Raw genomic sequence first — 17,542 nt, 5'->3', positions numbered from 1 at the left:
CTGTACATGAAACAGTTTTGACTACGACCTGTCACATGAGGTTAGGTGTGGAATTTTCCACTTGTGGCATCCTATCGGTGCTCAAAAAGTTTCAGATTTTGGAGCATTTCAGATCTTTTGATTAGGGAGGCTCAACCCATACTTAATGTTTTAATACATCCTACCTGGTGGCCTTGCTTGATTCTCTCTGCTTGTAGTATGATGAAGTGGAGAAATACAAATTTGGAGTCATAGAGCCCGGGTTTGAGTCTTGGCAATTATTTTCCTTCGCCTCAGTTTCCTGGTATATATGTAAGGACTGAATGGCATAACACCTCTGACTAAACTCTCCTCTCCTTTTAAGTGCCTTCTGTTTCCTGGAAGGAAGCTACCTTAGGTACTACATGAGAGGCCCCTGGCACAGCATCTGACTGTCCGTTTTCAAAAGTAGGGCTGTCTGTTCCTTTCCCCTGACCTTCCCCATCCATCATCAATCTCAAAGTTACTTTTCTTTTATTGTTAATTTTTGTTGGTTTTTACTTGTAGTCTTCATTTCCTTATTACACATTACAGAAAAATCAGAAATGAAAAGTAGGCAAAAAGAAAATTTTAACATGTATCTGTAATCATTCAACCTAAAGATAATTGCTGCTGACATACTGGAAAAATCATCTTCCACAGTTTTTTCTACACCTAAATACACATGTAAATATATTTTTAATGAACAGTCCAAGGCTCAAAATGTCATACCATGCCCACACCCTTCTTCCAAGGTACTCTATCCTTATTCCCTTGCTGAGAAAACTGGCTGTAAGTGACTTCTTAAACGTAGGTAGCTGTTTTCTGTGCCATATAACCTTACTTCACACAACCCATCCACAGGCTATACAGTAGCTTTTTAGTGGTGTGATTCAAACAGAGAAAACAGATATTAACTCGCTTGACCAGATTTTCTCTCAAGAATTTGAATCATAAATATGAGAAGAGAGTAATGGAGTTGAGAAAAAGGTAAGTACTGGTAGACATATAACTAAGGTACGATACATATGCCATGAAGAGGTAGAAATAGAAATTAAAGGCATGACTCAGAGAAAACAGTTACCCGTGGAGGGTAATGTAACCACTAGAGTACAGAAAATGGAGCTGGATTACACTAAGAGCATGAGAAAAAGAAGCAACACTACTGCTGTAGGGCCTGTTTCAGGCTCCATGAAGCCCAGCAAGAACATAGGTCCTTTCTTGCCTGTGAAGCCTGATTGCATGGCTGTGATTCCCCTGCTTATCTCCATGTATTGAAATAATAATAAAGTCTCTCAATACTTGACATAAGCTGAGTTTCTGTTCTCTACAACCAGAGGAGCCCAATGCAATATATAGATTAATATAACAATTATGTAATCATATATGCATATTCTTTATTATATGCAATTTTTCTACATTTAACATCATATTGTAAACCTCTTACCAAGTCTATAAAATCATATCTACATTCTCATTCTGGAGGTTACTAGAAGACTATTGTATTTACATACCATTGTGTCTGGAATTGGTGGGTTCTTGGTCTCACTGATGTCAAGAATGAAGCCGTGGGCCCTCAAGGTGAGTGTCACAGCTCTTAAGGTGGCGCGTCTGGAGTTTGTTCCTCCTGATGTTCGGATGTGTTCAGAGTTTCTTCCTTGTGGTGGGTTCGTGGTCTCGCTGGCTCAGGAGTGAAGCTGCAGACCTTCGCGGTGAGTGTTACAGCTCTTAAGGCGGCGCGTCTGGAGTTGTTCGTTTCTCCCGGTGGGCTCGTGGTCTCGCTGGCTTCAGGAGTGAAGCTGCAGACTTTCCCAGTGAGTGTTACAGCTCATAAAAGCAGTGTGGACCCAAGGAGTGAGCAGCAGCAAGATTTATTGCAAAGAGCGAAAGAACAAACCTTCCACACTGTGGAAGGGGACCGGAGCGGGTTACCACTGCTAGCTCGGGCAGCCTGCTTTTATTCTCTTTTCTGGCCCCACCCACATCCTGCTGATTGGTAGAGCCGAGTGGTCTCTTTTGACAGGGCGCTGATTGGTGCGTTTACAATCCCTGAGCTAGACACAAAGGTTCTCCACGTCCCCACTTAGATTAGCTAGATACAGAATGTGGACACAAAGGTTCTCTAAGGCCCCACCAGAGTAGCTAGACACAGAGTGTGGATTGGTGCATTCACAAACCCTGAGATAGACACAGGGTGCTGATTGGTGTGTTTACAAACCTTGAGCTAGATACAGAGTGCCAATTGGTGTACTTACAATCCCTGGGCTAGACATAAAGGTTCTCCAGGTCCCCGCCAGACTCAGGAGCCCAGCTGGCTTCACCCAGTGGATCCCGCACCAGGGCTGCAGGTGGAGCTGCCTGCCAGTCCCGCGCCCTGCGCCCGCACTCTTCAGCCCTTGGGTGGTCTATGGGACTGGGCGCCGTGGAGCAGGGGGCGGTGCTCATCAGGGAGGCTCGGGCCGCACATGAGCCCATGGAGCGGGTGGGAGGCTCAGGCATGGCGGGCTGCAGGTCCCGAGCCCTGCCCCGCGAGAAGGCAGCTAAGGCCCGGCGAGAAACCGAGGGCAGCGCCGGTGGGCTGGCACTGCTGGGGAACCCAGTACACCCTCCTGGCCCGGGTGCTAAGCCCCTCATTGCCCGGGGCCGGCAGGACCGGCCGGCTGCTCCGAGTGCGGGGCCCGCCAAACCCCCGCCCACCCGGAACTCCAGCTGGCCCGCAAGCGCCGCGCGCAGCCCCGGTTCCCGCTCACGCCTCTCCCTCCACTCCTCCCTGCAAGCTGAGGGAGCCGGCTCTGGCCTTGGCCAGCCCAGAAAGCGGCTCCCACAGTGCGGCGGTGGGCTGAAGGGCTCCTCAAGTGCCACCAAAGTGGGAGCCCAGGCAGAGGAGGCGCCGAGAGCGAGCCAGGGCTGTGAGGACTGCCAGCACGCTGTCACCTCTCACCATAATTTTTACCAATTCCTGATTCCTTATTATTGACTCTTGCTGGGGATTCTTAGGGAAATCTCAAATGGGCTTGAAAATTGCAGTGCTGACCATGCAATTTTTTTTCTTCGTTTGGGAACAAATCTAATATTGTCAAAGGTCATTGTGTTCTTACACTAAGAAATCTACAATTGCCCTGTTGAAAAATGAGCCACTTCTGTGAATCTTTTATTGAAGTTTGTATAGTTTATAAACCATATTGATTTTTAAAAACAAACATGTCTTCATAATAAGTTTTGGGAAAACTCATATTTTTCTATCCCAAATATGGCAATAGGAAGATGTAAAATAATTTTACTGTAGACTTACAATTTTCCCAGGTAGGGTACCCAGTCAAATCTGCAAACTTCGAGCTGTGTGGCCATGAAAAACTGCTCCATCACTGCTGTCTCCTGGGCCCTTGGGGGAACAATATCAGTTTTGGATTTTAAAGACTTTTACCTTCAGGAGGATGCCTGAAATCAGTGCAGGTGAGTTTGAAATATTATTTGGGTGCTGAAGTTGATAGAGAATAAAAGGCGTATAGATCCTTTGATCAGCCTCTGTCTCTTAAAATGTAGAACTCTCTATCTCATTATAATGAAATGTATTAAGGCTCAGTCTGGCCCAGGCAGTGAAGTGATTCCCAAAATAGGCAAAACCTAAAACATGGGTATTTAAGTTGTTTTCTATTTTTTGATCATTATAAACAATACCACAGTAAGTATTCATAGTATTTATTGTACAAGTGGAAATTCTGGGCCAAAGGGTATGCACTTTTTTCTCTCTTTTTAAAAATTTATTTTATTCATATATAACAATTGTGCATATTTATGGGTTACATGTGATATTTTGATATATGCATATAATGTGTAATGATCAAATCAGGGTACTTAAGATATTCATCACCTCAAATATCTATAATTTCTTTGTGTTCGAAACATTTAAACTCTTCTACCTATTTTGAGATATACAATGAATTATTGTTAACTATAGTCACTCTACTGTACTATCGCACACTAGAACTTATTCCTATCGAATTGTGTATTTGCACCTATTAACCAACCCTACTTCATCTTCCCCTGCCCCACCCCCAACCTTTCCCAACCTTTGCTAACCATCATTCTATTCTGCCTCACTGAGATAAATGTTTGTTTTGTTTTTAGCAACCACATATGAGAACATGTGACGTTTTTCTTTCTGTGTCTGGCTTATTTAACTTATGTCCCCAATTCCACCCAGGTTGCTACACATGACAGAACTGCATTCTTTTTTATGTCTGAATAGTATTCCATTGTGTACATTTACCACATGTTCTTTATTCATCCATTGATGGACATTTAGGTTGACCCTGTATCTTGGCTATTGTGAATAGTGCTGCAATAATCATGGGAGTATAGGCATCTCCTTGATATGCTTATTTCCTTTTCATTGGATAAATACTTAGTAGTGAGTTTGCTGGATTGTATTTATTTCTTTTTTTCTTTTCCTTTTCCTTTTTTTATTTTTATTTTTATTTTTTTGAGATGGAGTTTTGCTCTTGTTGCCCAGGCTAGAGTGCAATGGCGCCATCTCGGCTCACCACAACCTCTGCCTCCTGGGTTCAAGCGATTCTCCTGCCTCCACCTCCTAAGTAGCTGGGATTACAGGCATGTGCCACCAGGCCTGGCTAATTTTTGTATTTTTAGTAGAGATGGGGTTCTATTTGTAATTTTTTGAGAAGGCTCCATAATGTTTTCCATAATGGCTGTATTTACTAATTTAACACCAACAGTGTATAAGAGTTCCCTTGTCTCCTGTCCTCACTAGCATTTGTTACTTTTGATCTTTTTCATAATAGCCATTCTAACTGGGGTGAGATGATATCTCATTGTGGTTTTGATTTGCATTTTCCCTGATCATTATTGATGTTGATCATTTTTTCATATAATTGTTGGCCATTTGTACGGCCATTTCTTTTGAGAAATGTCTATTCAGAGTATCTGCCCACTTTTTTTTTTTTTTTTTTTGGTTTTAATTTTTTGAGACAGGGTCTTACTTTGTTGCCCAGGCTGGAGTGCAGTGGTGTGATCACAGCTCACTGCATCCTCAACCTCCTCGGCTCAAGCAATCCTCCTCGCTTAGCCTCCTGAGTAGCTGAGACCACAGGCACGTGCCACCACAACTGGCTAATTTTTTTAACTTTTATTTTTAGTTCAGGTTTGTGCAACAAACCTACATGTGCAAGTTTGTTACATAGGTAAATTTGTGTCATAGGGGTTTGTTGTACAGATTATTTCATCACCTAGGTATTAAGCTTAGTACCCATTAGTCATTTTTCCTGATGCTCTCCCTCCTCCTACCCTCCACCTCCACCATCTGACAGGTCCCAGTGTGTGTTGTCCTCCTCTATGTCTCCATGTGTTCTCATCCTTTAGCTCCCACTTATAAGTGAGGACACGTGGTATTTGGTTTTCTGTTCCTGTGTTAGTTTGCTAAGGATAATGGCTTCCAGCTCCATCCACGTCTCTGCAAAGGACATAATCTAATTCTTTTTTATGGCTGCATAGTATTCCATGGTGTTTATGTACCACATTTCCTTATCCAGTCTATCACTGATGGGCATTTAGGTTGACTCCATGTCTTTGCTATTGTGAACAGTGCTGCAATGAACATTCATGTGCATGTGATAGAATGATTTACACTCTTTGGGATGTATTCTATGATGTAGATGTATCATAGATGTACTCTATGATAGAATGATGTACACTCTAGTCATGGGATTGCTAGGTTGAAAAATATATCTGCCTTTAGGTCTTTGAGGAATTGCCACAAAGGCTGAACTAATTTACACTCCCACCAACGGTGTATAACTCTTCCTTTTTCTCCACAATCTTGTCAGCATCGGCTTTTTTTTCTTTTTTTTTTTTTTAATATAATAGTCATTCTGACTGGTGTGAGGTGGTATCTTATTGTGGTTTTGATTTGCGTTTCTCTAATGATCAGAGATGTTGAGCTTTCTTTTGTATGTTTGTTGGCCACATGTATGTCTTCTTTTGAAAACTCTCCGTTCATATCCTTTGCCCACTTTTTAATAGGGTTTTTTTTTCTTGTAAATTTAAGTTTCTTGTAGCTGCTGGATATTAGACCTTTGTCAGATGCATAGTTTGTGAAGATTTTCTCTGATTCTGTAGGTTGTCTGTTTACTCTGTTGATAGTTTCTTTTGCTGTGCAGAAACTCTTTAATTAGCTTTTTTGTTGCAATTGCTTTTGGTGTCTTCATCATGAAATCTTTGCTTTTGCCTATGTCCTGAATGGTATCACCTAGGTTGTCTTCCAGTGTTTTTATAGTTTTGGGTTTCACATTTAAGTCTTTAATCCATCTTGAGTTAAATTTGCATATATGGTGTAAGGAAGGGGTCCCGTTTTAATCTTCTGCATATGGCTAGCCAGTTATCCCAGTACTACTTATTGAATAGGGAATCCTTTCCCCATTGCTTGTTTTTGTCAGATTTGTCGAAGATCAGATAGTTGTAGGTGTGTGGTCTTATTTCTGTGTTCTCTATTCTATTCCATTGGCCTATGTGTCTGTTTTTGTACCAGTACCATGCTGTTTTGGTTACTGTTGCCCTGCAGCATAGTTTGAAGTTGAGTACCATGATGCCTCCAGCTTTGTACATTTTGCTTAGGATTGCATTAGCTATTTGGGCTCATTTTCAATTCCATATGAATTTTAAAATAGTTTTTTCTAGTTCCGGGAAGAATGTCATTGGTAGTTTGATAGGAATAGCATTGAATCTATAAGTTGCTTTGGGCAGTATGGCCATTTTAACAATACTGATCGTTCCTATCCATGAAAGTGTAATGCTTTTCCATTTGTTTGTGTCATCTCTCATTTCTTTGAGCAGTGGTTTGTAGTTCTTTTTGTAGAGATCTTTCACCTCCCTAGTTAGCTGTATTCCTCAGTATTTTATTCTTTTTGTGGCAATTGTGGATGGGGGTTTGTTCATGATTTGGCTCTTGGCTTGACTGTTGTTGGCATATAAAAATTCTAGTGATTTTTCCACATTGATTTTGTATCCTGAGACTTTGCTGAAGTTATCAGCTTAAGAAGCTTTTGAACTGAGATAATGGGGTTTTCTAGATATAGGATCATGCCATCTGCAAACAGGGATAGTTTGACTTCCTCTCTTCCTATTTGAATGCCCTTTATTTCTTTCTCTTTCCTGATTGCCCTGGCCAGAACTTCAAATACTATAGTGAATAGGAGTGGTGAGAGAGGGCAACCTTGTGCTGGTTTTCAAGGGGAATGTTTCCAGCTTTTGCCTATTCAGTGTGATGTTGGCTGTGGGTATGTCATATCCGGCTTTTATTTTTGTGAGGTATATTCCTTCAATACCTAGTTTATTGCGTTTTTAACATGAATGGATATTGAATTTTATCAACTTTTCCGCATCTATTGAGATAATCATGTGGTTTTTTGTTTTTAGCTCTATGTGATGAATCACATTTATTGATTTGCGTATGTTGAACCAACCTTGCATCCCAGGGATAATGCCTACTTGATTGTGGTGGATACGCTTTTGGACTGGCTGCTGAATTCAGTTTGCCAGAAGTTTTAAAATAATTTTTGCATCAATGTGCATCAAGGATATTGGCCTAAAATTGTCTTTTTTTTTGTTTTAATCTCCGCCAGGTTTTGGTATCAGAATAATGCTGGCCCCACAGAATAAGTTAACAAGAGGCTGGGCACAGGGGCTCATGGCTGTAATCCCAGCACTTTGGGAGGCTGAGGCAGGTGGATCACCTGAGGTCAGGAGTTCAAGACCAGCCTGGCCAACATGGCAAAACCCCACCTCTACAAAAAACACAAAAATTAGCTGGGTGTGGTGGCACACACCTGTAGTCCCAGCTACTTGGAAGGCTGAGGCATGAGAATTGCTTGAACCCGGGAGGCAGGGATTATAGTGAGCTGAGATCGCACCACTGCATACCAGCCTGAGCAACAGAGCGAGACTCCTTGACAAAAAAAAAAAAAAAATTAAATTAAATTTTTTAAAAAGCTTAAATTAGGAAGAAATCCCTCCTCCTTAATTATTTGGAATAGTTTCAGTAATTCCTAGACTCAAGCGAACCTCCTGCCTCAGCCTCCCTAGTAGCTAGGACCACAGGCATGCACCACCATACCCAACTAATTTTTAATTTTTTTTTTTTTTTAGAGATAGGATCTTACTATGTTTCTCAGGCTCGTCTTAAACTCTTGGCCTCAAGAGATCCTCCCACCTTGGCCTCCCAAAGTGCTGGGATTACAGGTGTGAGCCACCATGCCTGGCCAGGTTGTGCACTTTTATTGCCAAAAGACCCTTCTTAAAGGCTGTATCAATTCATATTTCTACCACTGGAATACAGACATGCCAATTTCCTACATCTTTGCCAACACTAGGTATGCCATTCTTTGTAACTTTTAAAGAATTAGGTATCTAGTATAAATTGTGTTAACTCCCTGCTATAAAACCTCCAAGGGCTCTCAGTAGGCATTCTCAAACTTTTTGGTATCAGGACCTCTTTATAGTCTTAATAATTATTGAGGGCACCAAAGATCTTTGGCTTATGTGGTTTGTACTTATTTCAAATGGAAAATAAAAAAAAAATCCAACTAGTGAGACGTGGCATTGCTTTACATTTTCACAAAGCTCTTTAGTGACTGGCTTATTCTATTATAGTAGAAGTGGAAATCTCATATCTGCTTCTGCATTTGATCTGTTGCAATCATGTAGTCTCCAGAAAACTCCCTAGCACACTCATGAGAGAACAAGAGCAGAAAAAGTAAATCATGTCTTAGTATTATTTGAATGCAATTTTGGCTTCGTGAACCCCCTGGTAGGTTCTTAGGGGCTCCTAAGGGTGTCCAAAATATATGTTGAGAACCATAAAGTCCAAAAAAAAAGTCTCTTTAAAATGTCATATTAGTCCTTTCCTTCCTTTTTCCTTTTTTTTTTTTTTTTTGAGACGCAGTCTCGCGCTGTCGCCCAGGCTGGAGTGCAGTGGTGCGATCTCGGCTCACTGCAAGCTCTGCCTCCCAGGTTCACGCCATTCTCCTGTCTCAGTCTCCCGAGTAGCTGGGACTACAGGTGCCCACCACCACGCCGGGCTAATTTTTCGTATTTTCAGTAGAGACAGGGTTTCACCGTCCTTTCTTGATTTAATACTAAACCTTCCTCAATTATCCTCTCTAGCATGGTCCTTCGTAAAGCCATGCAAAATTCTGACTACTTCTCAGAAAGATGAATTTTCAGTTCTATATATTTTTGCACTTACCATTTTCTCTTCCAAGAATGCCTATCTCTGGCTGCTATATTGGTGTTTGAAGGAACTCAATATCTTCTCCAAATTCAGATTAAACTGAGACAAAGCAAAAAAGCAAGCAGATAGAATCAAGTAATGCCTTTATTACCAATAAAGTTGATTTTGAAGAATGTGAGCTAATATATGGTAACAATGGGTTTCCTGATACTCCATACCCAGAACTTTACAGACCCACCTACCCAGGTGCAGAAAGCACTAGACAACTGCAAGCTTCCCCCAAGTACAGTTCCCTGCCCCATTATTATTATTATTAGAGACGGAGTTTCACTTTTGTTGCCCAGGCTGGAGTGCAATGGCACAATCTCAACTCACTGCAACCTCCACCTCCTGGGTTCAAGTGATTCTCCTGCCTCAGCCTCCCAAGCAGCTGGGATGACAGGTGCCCACCACCATGTCTAGCTAATTTTTTGTATTTTTAGTAGAGATGGGGTTTTACCATGTTGGCCAGGCTGGTCTCGAACTCCTGACCTCAGGTGATCCACCTGCCTCAGCCTCCCAAAGTGCTGGGATTACGGGTGTGAACCATTGTGCCTGGTCCCCATTATTAAATTTTGATAATGAAGGCTCACTACAAAGAAAAGGGAGGAGGAAAGACTTCAGCAACATACAAACACCCAGTTCCTTATCCTATAGTCAACAAGGTAAATCACTCCATCTTCCCTGGGAAGTGTTGATCAAAAACACCACCACCAACAACAAACTCTAAAATATTTTTAAAGGCTTATTCTGAGCCAATACGTGTGATCATGGCCCAGGAAGCAGTCTTAAGAGGTCCTGCGAAAGTGTGCCTGAGGTGGTCAGGTTCCATGTTGGTTTTACACATTTTAGAGACACAGGAACTGCAGGTAAAATCTTAAATCTGTACATGAAAGGTATACATTCTTTCAGCCTAAAGAGGTGAAGCAGCCTTGCTGTCTGGAGTAACACCCAATGTTCGCTGTCCAATGGCCAAGAACAAGGACACAGACATGCAAAGAGTGAGATTAAGAGTGAAGTTTAATAGGCAAAAGAAAGCTCACTGCTGCAGAGAGGGGTCCCAGAGAAATGGGTTGCTGGATCCATGGTGAAATTCAGGGGGGTTTATAGATGAGCTAGTGAGGAGGCAGTATCTGATTTACATAGAGCGCAAAAGACTGGTTGAACCAGGTGTGCCATTTGCATAGGGTGCAAAAAACTGGTTAGGAGTAGGTATCCCATTTGCATAGGGTGTGAATTTCTGGCTGCCCCCACCTGAATCTTTTATTATGCAGGCAGGTTCTCTGCCTGCGCTGCACCATGTTGCCCATTTCTCTGTTACTGTACATGTAGTAAAAGGAAGATGGAGCTTCCATGTTGGGCATGCCTGGCCCTCAGGTAAGCCCTTTTCTATTGACACAGCTGCCGGCATCCCCCCGTGCAAGCTTCCAGCTTGCTTATCTATGTTTGCAGCTCTATTTTTCAGGCTGCTCTTTGTTAGAAAAGAAATGACTTGGGGGCTGCTTATTGTTAGAAGGGAAGCTCTTCCAAGGGAAGCTCTGTTGCCCTCACTATCTGCCTAAATAATTTCTTTCTACCTCCTGTATCAGAGGCACGGTATCTTGAAGTTGAGGGGTATATTAGTTCATTCTTGCACTGCTATAAAGAAATACCTGAAACTGGGTAATTTATAAAGAAAAGAGGTATAAATGGCTCACAGTTCTGCAGGCTGTACAGGAAGCATGATGCTGGCATCTGCTCACTTTCTGGAGAGGCCTCAGGAACCATATAATCATGGCGGAAGGCAAAGGGGTAAATAGCACTTCACATGGCTGGAGCAGAAGGAAGAGAGAAGTGGGGAGGTCCACAAACTTCTAAACAACCATGTCTCCTGAGAACTCACTCACTATACAGTACCAAGCGGGGATGGGGCTAAAACTCCACCCCCATGATCCAATCACCTTCCACTAGGCCCCACCTCCAACACTGGGGATTATAATTTGACATGAGAGTTGTGGGGACACAGGTCCAAATCATATCATGGGGCATATGGATCATAGACAGATTTAAAGATTTTCTGTTTGGCCATTGGTTAAGCTTCATGTAAAGAGGATGTCAATAGACTGGAATGTTTGGATTAAGATAAGGGGGGTGTTGTGGAGACCAAGGTTGTCATGTAGATGAAGCCTCCAGATAACAGCCTTCAGAGAGAATGTATGGTGAATATCTCCTTTCGTACCTTAAAGAGTGTCAAACGCTTAATCTCTCCTAGATCCCAGAGAGACCTGCCATATTAACAGAGATTCTCTATAGATGCAAATTTCTCCCACAAAAGACAGCTTTGCAAGGCCATTTCAAAATATGCCAAAGAAATACATTTTGGGCTAAAGCATTTTTATTTCCTTCAGGGTCTGCTATTTGTTATATGATGTTATATCAGAATCAGGTTTGAATTTGGTATCTTACTGCCACAAAGAGTGTGTTTTGTCAGGCTTATGATCTCTAATGTTAATGCTGCCTAGTTATGCCTAAACCTTAGAAGGGAGGGGGTTTGAGATGTGTCCAACCTCCCTTCCTTTCACGGGTGGGAATTCAGTTTTTCAGGTATCTCTGAGATCCCCTTGGCCCAGATGCGGGCCATTCAGTCGGTTGGGAGGCTTAGGATTTTATTTTTGGTTTACAGGAAGGATGACTGAAAAAGCAACCAGGAGTGGTACCCTAATTGCTTTCTTTCACACAAAAGGAAACAGGAATGGAGATGAATCATATCTCCCACTGCCGCGTCTCTCTCAGCCACTCCCCACACATACACACAGTACAACCAATATTCTCTACCTACAAAATGCCTAGTCATACTTAAGCGTGACCTCTTGTATGAAGCTTTAACCTCCTGATGTCTTCTCCCCTCCACCCGTAGAGCATTTTTTACATATAAATAAATTCAAGTCATATTAAGACATACATACATGGCACCGAGGATACAAATACAAATAAGATACTATTTCTACTTTGAAAAAGTTTGGGAAAAGATATCTATGACAGCATCTCTGATACAGTTGTCAGATTTTTGTTCCCTACATTTATTCTTTCAACAAATTTAGAAGCACCAAGTACACAGACACCCTTATTCCACCGAATAATAATTTACGCATGTCATTGCACCATCTGAAATCTTTCTACACCAGTTGACCCTCACAAATCTCTACTCAACTTTCACCCTGACCCTGAAATTACTCTCATTTCCTGTCAAGATCTAGCCAGACCAAGGTCACCAGTAATTATCTCCCAAGCCCAACAATTCATTTTTTCATCCTTCCTATCTCCCTAGTAATTTTATACTTGGGTGGATGCCTTTGAGTGTTTGTGTGTTTTGTATTTACAGCTATAATGGTAGAAACCTGCAGTACCACGGCTCATTTTATAAGGCTTTGGAAATAACATGGGCCGAATCCCAGATCCTAAGACCCAGCAGTAAATATAATAAAAGCCTGATAGAACATGTTTAACCTGGAAGGAGGGCATTGTTTCTGTCCCTTAACAGCTCATTATAGAGATTCCACTTCATTGCTATTTCTCCCCATCTCCATGGCAGCCTGCAGACTGCTTGAGAACATGATCATTGGCTAGATGTTTAGATTAAATGACCTTTGGGGGTCTCTTTTTACCCCCTGAAATGCTATAATTCTGGTGAGTTTCCTTTTCTTAGAAGTGTGGTGCAAAAGCATCATTTCAAAACAATGCCTAGCTCATAGTAACTAAAAACACAGAGACAGGAGGCAGAATAACTGGCCTCAGATCTTGTCTATATACATGGCCTTAAGACAAAGTATTTTAATTTCTCTACCTTCGTCAACTCATCTATAAAATGATGATCATAATCATACCGATCTCACAGGCCTGTTGTGAGGAGCAAATAGCTGATATATTTAAATCACTTAGAACAGTGCCCACCACTTACTAAGTGTGCAGTAAATTATGAATTACTAGTTAGCAAATACGTGTCCAAGGAATTCTACAATTCCATGAACTCCCAGTAACTTACAATATGTTACTAGGCACTCACAAAACACTGGAACCTCTTCTTAGGTCTGAATTTTATAGACCTCATTCAAACCTTTTAAATACCTGGTCTCATCAAAACAAAAAGATCTTTTAAATTAGAACGGCAGTCAGGATTTTTTGAAAACTAATTCTAAGCATAAATACCAGGTATATACATACTAAATCTACCAACTGAAATTCCATTACAAGACCATGTTTGCATAATTCTATTATATTCAAAAAATTCACATCCATTTTTTTAAAGCTCAAATCAAGCATTCACACAACTGTACTATCTCTTCTTTGCAAAATCTTACTCTAGGTGTGTCAACAGTTCTAATCAGTCCACCAGGATACAGACACTGACTGCAGTTTAAAAGACATAATCCAATAACATATTACCTAGTTCCATAAAGCTTGGAAACGGAAACAAACTTTCAACCTTGGAATGGCTTAAGCAGTGGGTAAATTTGGCACATTTACTCTTAAGTCATTTTAAAAGCATTAAAACATATTTCAAAGATTTCAAACATGCAATTATTTTTGCTGCCACTCAAAACATGAAATAAACATTGGTTTAAAAAAGACGTGTTTTTTTTATCTATCAAAACAAACAGCTTAATGAATAAAAATTGTTTCCGCAAACTAAACCATTTTTCATACATTTGCAACGTATCCAGCAGGTTTTAGCAGACTGAACTTAGAAAAGCCATTGGTAAATTGTAGCCCCCTCCCATATTAATATATATCAAACTTCAGGTGTGGTTATTTTATGAAAACTCCTCTAAAAACATGTCTCACACGTATACTTTGAAAGTTAATTCACTAGCAAAGCTGCACTTTTGTCTACCTCGATGGTACTAATATTTATGGTTATCTTGTGGACTGGGTCTCACATTATAATCACATCTTCCCTGTATTAGTCCCAAATCATAATTATCTTTTAAATTTGCTTAAAAAATACATTTGGAGCACCTACTAAGATATTTGGCTGGATGCTTTAAGGAGTTGAAAGCTGGTTACAACAGGCTGACCCCTCAAAGAGCTCCCACTCAAGGTAGGCAGAAAGACAATGCAGAGAAATAAACTTGCCACAAGATTATCTGTTCTGCCGCTGTCCATTTACAAGTTCTGGGTCTGGTGTGCCATCATGATGAAGGAAGGATACGCAGGCCAATGCGCTGTCCTAGGCCACCCCTGCCTGACTTGTTTGCCACGGGCCCCCAATTCCTTCTTCTGCAATCTCCTAGTTTAAAGCCTGGCTCCCTATACTCACCCCAAGCTTGTGCTTTTTTTGACCAATTTAGAGCCCCTTATTGACTCAGATTTCTCCTCACTCTTGAGTTCCAGACTTGCAAAGCTCCAGGTTAGAGACCCCTCTGCCAATTCTGCTTTATAAGAACTACTTAACCTAGACCCCCTCCCACTCTCCACTTCCTCCTGGCCTTGCAACCTTCCTGCCGTAGAAGAGGAATCAGAAAAAGACACAGGGCAATCATTTTATAAGAATGATACAAAGAATGATAGAAACCAGTTGTTATAGTTAAGTCAGAAAAGTGAGAGTTGGCTTCCAAGTTTGAATCTTCTTTTCTGATGTTGCTTAGTGATGAGCTTAAAAGATGCCCAGTAGGTAAAACTAAAGCAGAAAAAGCATGCTTATACTCATTAAAAAAATTATATTTGTGTTAACAATTTTTTGTAGTGTCATCATGGTGGTAGAAAGACTTAACTAGAACTTTTCAAACAGCTTCTACATCTCAGGCACTTTCCCGATCCAATTTTATTAATTATTCCCCTCCACATTCCAATGGGGATAAGTTTTATCTGAGAGAAAAATACAGAATAATAACAGATGCCTCAGGCATTGCCACTTAACCTCCCCATTTCTTAGCATTTTAGTTTTAAACTTGCTGTTGTGTCTACTACTGTTTCAACGTGAATCAGAATTTGTATGCATTCCAAACATAAATCTTCCTATTCAAATGTAACATGTATACAAATTCCAACTCCTTGGCTTCAGGCAAAGACAGCATATCAAAACAGGTGGCATCCTCCAGGAAAACAAGTGTAGAACTTCTATGAATCAATGGAGATAGGTGCATGGGCTGACAGCAGGTTTCCCTGCACCCAATCTGACATAGAAGAGAAGCAAGAGAGGTGGGGCTAACAGAAAAAGCGTATGACAACTCCATATTTGTAGGAAGCAGCCTGTTATTGAGGCAGAATCAGAGAATAGAAATGCATTGTGAGTAGCCCTAAAGCTGCTAATCTCTGGTGGCAAGGGAGAGTTAAGGCCAAAATAATTCACTCAAATACATAATCCTGTGTCATAAACAACGTATGTCTCTGTGAACAATAAGAATTCCTGCCAGCCTAGAATATGGACAGATGTAGCATTTATTCCACACAAACCTCTTGCCAGTACCTGGTCCAGAAAAAAACTTATTTCATTAAAAAATGAGCATCTATGCAAAACTACTCCAAGAAAATAAGAAAGAAAATAAATAAGGGGGAAAATAGAAGACAAAGAATACTCACCAAGAAAAATGTTTCCATAAAGTAGATAAAAATGTGGGCCAAACATATTGCCAAAGTCTTAAAAACAAACAACTGAAACAAAGCTACTATATCTATAAAACAAGTGTTCACATCAAATATACAAGAGCTCAGGAACAATAATACCAGACAATAGAAAATGAAATATAATTTGGTAGAGCTCAGAAAACAAACATTTCACTGAAAGCAACCAGATTGTGCTGAAAACATGGCAAGAAAGAAGGATGACAGGAATAGAAAATAGTACCAAATGAAGGAGGAAAAAAACCCCTCAAAACTAGAGAACATAATAGCTAGACAGGACACATATGTAATAACTGGCATCCTGAAGAAAGTTAAAAAATAGTAATAAAAAAGGAAAAATGTTAAATATATACTTCAAAGTAACTTTCCAGAAATATGTTATGGATCTATAGACTGAGAGGGCACACTGAACCCCAGGAAAAACTGATACAAAACATTCAACCTTGAATCTTGTTTTATTAAGGTTACTGGCATTGAAAGAAAAATCTGTTGTTGGACGGAGGCAAAAAGTTTAAGTCAGACTGTTAAACTATGTACAGCAGTGTTCAATGCTAGCAGACACTGGAGCAATAATACAAAGTCCTCAAGGAAATAAAGTGTGTGATCCAAGAACTGTACATGGCCAAATAATCACTAAAGTGTAAAGACAATAAAATTTTTGAACTTGCAAAAACTCAGGGAATGTAGTCCCAAAGCCCTTCTTCAGGAAACTACTAGAGGCCAAACTTTGAAAAGAATAGATAAACAGAGTCATGAGTATTGACTGCATTTAACTTGCAACTAAGACAAAAAGAATTGTGGAGATTATGGTCACAGAACAGAATTTAAATGTTATAAACTCTAATGATGTAGAATATAGCAATAGTTTGAAGAAGAGGACAAGGTGGTGGGTAGGTATGCTGATTTTCTCATCTGTAGAGAACAGATTATTATTAAAGCTGATAAATCATGTAATAGAGCTATAAGTGGCCGGGTGCAGTGGCTCACACCTGTAATCCCAGCACTTTGGGAGGCTGAGGCAGGTGGATCACCAGGTCAGGAGCTCGAGACCAACCTGGCTAACACGGTGAAACCCCGTCTCTACTGAAAATACAAAAAATTAGCCGGGTGTGGTGGCGGGCGCCTGTAGTCCCAGCTACTCGGGAGGCTGAGGCAGGAGAATGGTGTGAAGCCGGGAGGCAGAGCTTGCAGTGAGCCAAGATCGTGCCACCGCACTCCAGCCTGGGTGACAGAGCGAGACTCCGTCTCAAAAATTAAAAAAAATAAAAAACAGAGCTATAAGTACATTTCCAAGCTTCAAGAATATGTTATAAAAGCTACGTGACATCAAAAATCTGATGAGTTTGGAAGGAAGATAAGGGGGAGAAAGTAGAAATAAATAAATTCATCATGCTCTTGGTAGGAAGTCAATAGCTGTCTAAATAAACAGAAGTGTACATATTTGGAGGAAAGGGCATATTGCTGGTGAGTGCAATTCTCTTTAAACAAAAGGACTCCATAGGACTTCTCTGGACCTATTATATGGGACCAAGAAACAAGGGGCAACTTTGCAGTGTTCAGCTTTAGAGACTAACTGAAAATAGAAATACAGTAGAGGGCCAACAAGTTATTTCTTAATACAAAGCATTAACTGTCTCTCCAGTACCACCTCGTTATATTGTA

The sequence above is a fragment of the Homo sapiens genome, chromosome 12, assembly GCF_000001405.40.
Source record: "Homo sapiens chromosome 12, GRCh38.p14 Primary Assembly".
Classification (NCBI taxonomy): domain Eukaryota; kingdom Metazoa; phylum Chordata; class Mammalia; order Primates; family Hominidae; genus Homo; species Homo sapiens.
The sequence above is the reverse complement of the archived record's forward strand: the minus strand, read 5'-3'. Positions refer to the sequence as shown.